We start from the raw sequence: 6,103 nt of genomic DNA on the forward strand, positions 1-6,103 counted from the left end.
CCCTTTCAATCCTCTTTGGATTCTGAAATTTATTTTCAACCCACAGATAATAAATAGTACATAAGATTTTGTGGTTTTACAGATAATAAATAGTACATAAGATTTTGTGGTTTTAAACAGAAGTACCTTTTGAGATTACATTTCTATTAATTCCTTTTGTGTTGCTCTGTAGCTGATTCGTATTACCCCTGGAAAGCTAGTTTCGTGCCCTGGAGGAAATTCACCGTCACCACTACCAGTAAACCACAGGCAATTCTCTACCTTTCTTTAAGTGGGATGGAAAGAAATAATAAAATCATGCAAGATAAACTTACAGTTCAAAATCTAAATGGCGCTAAAACTAGCATGAAGTCACATGCATAATTGAGCCGTAGTGTTGTTAAAATCATCACATATCCACATAAATTCAGGGTAGCACAGAAATAGGACATAGTCAATCTTCATTATACACAGATTCCATATTTGCTAATTTACCTACTTGCTAAAATGTATTCGTGACCCCAAAATCAATACTTGCAGCTCTTTTCCAGTCATCTGTAGACATGCCCATAGGGGCAAAAATCCGAGTCTCTGGCTGCTCATGTGCCAGATGAGGTGGAAACCAGGCAACCCTACCTTCTAGCTTCAGCTCTCAGACAGCCAACAGGTGTCCTTGCACAGCCTGTGCAGTGCCTTTTTTTTTTTTTTTCATTTTTGTGCTTGCTGTTGGTGCTTTCACTCCTCAAAGTGGCCCTCAGAGCATATTGTGGAAGTGCCGTCCAGTGTTTCTGAGTACAGGAAGGCTGTGATATGCCTTCTGGAGAAAATACATGTGTTAGATAGGACATGAGTTATAGGGCTGTTGGGTATAAGTTTAATGTTAATGAATTAATATATAGTAAATGGATGCCTTTAAACAAAAATGCAGATAAAATAAACTTACGTATTGATCAATGAATGAAAATGTTACCCAAGGCTCACAGGAACTTAACCCTGTGTTCTTCCTAGGAGCAATGATTCAATATTTGCTAAATCAGTGTTTACAGCAACTTTCTAAAACATAGCTAATGTGAATAACAAGAATCAACTGTATTTCAGACAGGTGCACTTTTTGAGAACAAATGCTTGACGCTCAAACCATTTTTAGCAGTGTTCACACAAAATAGATAGAGTAAGATCCGGCTAGTTACTTTCTTTTAAAATCCCACACACAAAACCCAACTGATGACCAAGTTGATGCTTTAATATTAGCTAAGAACCATTATTGCCTCCTTCTTACCGAGCCAATCCTGAAAGGAGAGTATTGGACTATTAGAGGCACATTTCCAGTGGAAACTGTAATAGCAGTTGTCTTAGAATTTGGAAGGTGTTAAAGACACCTTTTTATGTTTGTTTTTAATAGCCATTCAAAGTGGGTCTAGTTCATGAATTATTCTACCATTGTATTGATGCTGAAAGTAAAGCACAGATCATCCAAAGAAATATTTTGAGATCCATTTTCTATTGAACAGGTGATACATTAAAAACACACATAGCAAATAATCCAGGGAGTCAACACAGAACTAAAGTGATCACTTTTAGAATAGGAAGAGGATTGATATCTATGGTACCTTAACATTGCAATAATAGTCATTATTAAGAACCTGAACCCAGCAATCTAAACTACTGAGTTTTCTGTCTAATGGATATGCCTCCCATTACTTTAGAAAGCATTTTATTAAAAAAAGAGGAAAAATGAGAGTGCCTCATTATTTCTCAAAATATAAATACAGCACTGACTGCAGATTAACTCTGAAGTGTTCCCAGGTCAGTTCAAAGGGTGGGTGCTCTCATGTATATGAGCATACACAGAAGTAACACTAATAATAAATTAAATGATACAAGAGATTACTTTCCAAGCTTTAAACACAAGCTAGGTTTTTGCTTTGTTTTCATACTTAGACTTTTTCTCTCTGCTATTATAAAATTCTCAGTTTAGATGTATCAGATGTATAGTCCACATTGACTATTAAACATAGAAGATGAGAATTTAATTACGACTACATCGATGGTCCTTCATAATCTTATCCCAGCCTTGAATCTCTTCACCACCCTTTGAACCTCCTTCAGTTGCTCTCACCTCCTGTCCCCTTTCTCTGTCTACCTCCCACAAGCCCTTACCCAAGTATTCTTTGAACTTCACATTGTCATTATCTTACCTGGGACTGTATCTTCCTTTTATATTATCCTTCCAGTTCCCATCCATTTCCTAAAGCATTCCAAGAACCCATTGAAAATATGTCCTCTTTTTCCTGCCTACCAAATTGTACCTATAATTTGCCCCATCTATGTGGCATTTTAGAAAATAAATTTACACTTTACATGTATGTGCATGGTTGACATACCTGTAGTTATGTTATGTAAGGTATTTCTACCTCAGTAAGATTTTGCGGGCATAGGTCTCTTGTTATATTTTTATTCTGTTTTCCTGAGCACGTAAATTTTCAACAAGTTCCTGTGAGTTACATTGTATTTCTTAATGGGTATAACTACAAACCAGGTATGGGAAAATCAGACTGAAGATTCAGGGAGATTTTCCAGGAGGAAGTTGGGAATAAGATAAAGGATTAAAGACAAAAATAATTTTACCTAAATGAATGATATAATTCCTTTTATAATCATCTCTCCTAATTTTCCTACTTATACGCTACATGATAGCCAAGCTGCACACTTCCCCAAATATTGTTTCCTCCCTCCATGGGTTTTCACATAGTCACCGTGAGCTGGGCTCAGATCCCTGCTGCTCGATGTAAGAGCTGCATGACCTTAGACATGTAACTTAACCTCTCAAAGTCTCAGTTTCCTTATCTGAAAAACAGGGATAAAACTGATACCTATAGCATAGAATTTCTGTTAAGACTGATCGATATTCATAATGCAAAATACCCCATCCTTGCCATCTTTTAAGGCAGTGTTTATTAGATAATAGGCAACAACTCATTGCATTGGGAAATAAACTTTATGGGTCCCAACCAGAATTTTTTGTTAAGTGGAAATCAATAGAGTATAGTAGAGTAGAGTGGGACATAACAGAGCATATATCTCATAATATGGGAAGATATTGTTTTGTGAAATTTTTATTCCAGATCTACATTAATGTGTGTTCTGCACTATGACACAAAATGTATTTCTCACTGAGGGTATAGGAATAAAAATGTTTGAAAAACACTTAGTTAACATTAGTTTCAATTGCATATCATTCATGAAGCTACTCCAGATTACATCACCCAGAAATGAACTCTCCTCTTCTGACCTTGCACTCTTTTTTTTATGCCACATTCTATATCATATTAGAGCTGTTTTTGTAAGTATCTCATTTTTATAGCAGAATCTCTTTGAGCATCTAGGGCATGCATTGTTCATCTCTGAATACTTGGCAGGGCTACTCTGAATACTCTTAGCATATTTGTTTGCACATTATAAATGCTAAGTGCATATTTTGTTAATAGATGACTAAGTTTCACCCATATTTAATTCTAGAGGTGACAAATTGACAAGGGATGCCTGAAAAATAATCTAGAGGCAAATGTGCGGGAATGTACTTCAATAGAAGAGAAAAAAAAACAATATCTACTTATTTGTTGCAATGAGGAATTCCTACCTACCAATATAAAACATTTTTGAAGTTTTCAAAAGATTTTGTTATTGGATAAAGCATTTCCCTCTTAACCTATAGAGGGCAGAACTTCTTAAACTGGGCTTTATGGATAAACTTTAAGAGTACATAAGCTCTGCAATTGTATGTAAAATCTGCTTATGCGTGTGTATATGCATATGCATGCGCACGCACGCGTGCACACGCACACACACACAGCCCCCCGGAGTGCAAGGGTTAAAAACTTTACATCCTCTAAGCAGATGTTCCATGATGTAAAAAACCACAAATATGCCTGTGACACATCTCTTTTAGGAAAACCAAATTTTTCAACTTTCTGCATTTCCCCTAAGCCTCAACCCTCTTTCCTCTTATCTTAAAAACCATCCAGCTAGGGTTAATAATCCAGTTTCTCTCCCTAGTCCAAAGGACACCCTCTGCTATGAAATTAGGCAGGGAGGGAGGCACTGTGACTCTTTCAGGCCATTAGGAAATCATTTAGCCACTGATGTCCTATGGCCTGACCCCTTCAGTAATCTCCTATTGGCTTTCCACAGCAGTAAATCACCTGTTGGCCCAGCACCTGGCCGGTTTTGGGAATATGTGATCATCATGCTCATTCGCCCTCTCTGGAGCTACAGAAACCCGATGGGTGGTGCAGAATCTCACTATGGTTCCATTTGCTTTTGATCTTTCGGCTGGATAAGGCATGAGCAACAGGAAAGCAAGTACAACCGATGGCTATTTGGGACCTCCTACATAATGGGTCCCCTAGGCGGGGGGCAAGTATAGCAGCATCCAGAACAATTGGGAGGGGAGAGCATCCAGTATTTAAGTGGAATTTAATGTCTGCTCTTTGGTCTGCAGCTCTGACTTGGGATTCCCCCTACCAGCGGGGCTTCTTCCAGCATAAACAGGAGAATGGCTGGGCAGCAGTGATTAGGATGATGTAAACACTGTGGCTATTTAAACAGCTGCTTCCCTTCACCTTGAAGCTCATCCTCTCTCCTTCATACTAATTTCCACCATTAAAACTGACCTTGCTCTCCAGAGATGAGATGCCAGAGCCTTGGGGAACCTGACCTAAGGTTTGAAACCCACGTAGAGATTTCCAGCCAGCCAAGAAGTATACAGACACCTTACTCTCTGATTGTTCCGGGGCAAAGTGTGCCACCTCTATATGGAAGTGTTCTGATTCCAACTCAGTAGTTCTCCAAACCTGCCCTTTGCCAGCCTACATGTCATCAGCTTGCAGGAAAGTAATCCAGGTTGGATGCTAACACAAGAAGGCTGGACTCTCCCAGCAGCAATTAGCTGGAGGAAGGGAAGCGTCATTCTGGCAGGTGAAAGAAATAGATTCCTGGTTTTGTTTTTCTACTGCGTGAGATCTAAAAGCTTGAAACATTCTTCTCTTCACATGCCCCTCCCCCTTGGCCTTAACTGACGACTTACCTTCTGGGCAAACAGTTTCGTGGTGAAATCAAATCACCAAAAACGTGACTCTTTTTGGAGGAGCGGATCTTAGGACAGCAGCGCTCTCCTTTGTCCCTTAGCCCCTGAAGGTGCCGTTTTCTATTCTTGGCTGAGTTTTTCTTTCCCCCCACTTACCATTATACTTCATACTGTTTGACTTTCAGCAGCCACAGCCTGGGGAACATCTGAACTTGGCTACCTTTCCTCTTTGCTGTCCATAATAACTCCCTTCCTTCTGGACGGGCAGGATATTAATTCTCCACATGGTTCCTGATGAATTGGAAACAGAACAGGCGGTATCCATTCGCCAGCGGACTCCCATTGACCCATAGTCAGTTTCCAGGGTAGAATTTGCCAGTAGTCTGAATTTTTCACACAAACAGGAAAGAAGGTTTCAAATTCCCATCTGTATCCACAACCCTCAGCAGAAAGAGGCGCAGTGGCTCTCTGCCCTCCTGATGGCCATTCCAGTCAGTAACCATGTAGTCTTGCGTGGTGAGCTCATCAAACTTCCTTCTGACCTAGAAATATTGGTGTTAATGGTAAAATAATAAAGATATTTTGCAGACATTTCTTCCCATTTGCCTGCTCTTAGCACTCACTTCCAAAACAGGCCTGTTTAGACTTCTCTGGAGAGGTGGTTATCATGGATGCTTGGAATTTGGGAGTTCTGCATTCCTCTAACGCAGCTGCTCCCTTAGCTTCTATTCCTGCCTTGGTTGGAGTGAAGAGAGCCTCACTTGCTCACTCCTCCCTCCCCAGCCCTCAGCCTCACCAAAGGGTAAGCAGTCTCAGCACTCATTCCATCCTGTCCACTGCTCCACTTTACTTTAAGCGTCACAAGCAGCCAGGCACTTTGGCTCACACCTATATTCCCAGCACTTTGGGAGGCTGAGGTGGGAGGATCACTTGAGGCCAGGAGTTTGAGACCAGCCTGGGCAACATGGCAAGACCCCATCTCAACAAAAATATTTTAAAAAATAGCCAAGCATGGTGGTGCACACCTGTAGTCCTAGC

The 6,103-nt window shown here is 40.2% G+C and overlaps 1 long non-coding RNA gene across 1 annotated transcript; it reads right to left on the minus strand.

The window, feature by feature from the left end:
- Window positions 1-5,771, minus strand: LOC124903196 (uncharacterized). Its single transcript, XR_007063842.1, has 2 exons — window positions 5,222-5,771; window positions 1-796 (listed from the first exon to the last, which is right to left on the minus strand). It is a non-coding gene; the product is annotated as an uncharacterized LOC124903196 (long non-coding RNA).
- Window positions 5,772-6,103: the final 332 nt, after the last annotated feature.

This window comes from Homo sapiens, chromosome 13 (genome assembly GCF_000001405.40).
Source record: "Homo sapiens chromosome 13, GRCh38.p14 Primary Assembly".
Classification (NCBI taxonomy): domain Eukaryota; kingdom Metazoa; phylum Chordata; class Mammalia; order Primates; family Hominidae; genus Homo; species Homo sapiens.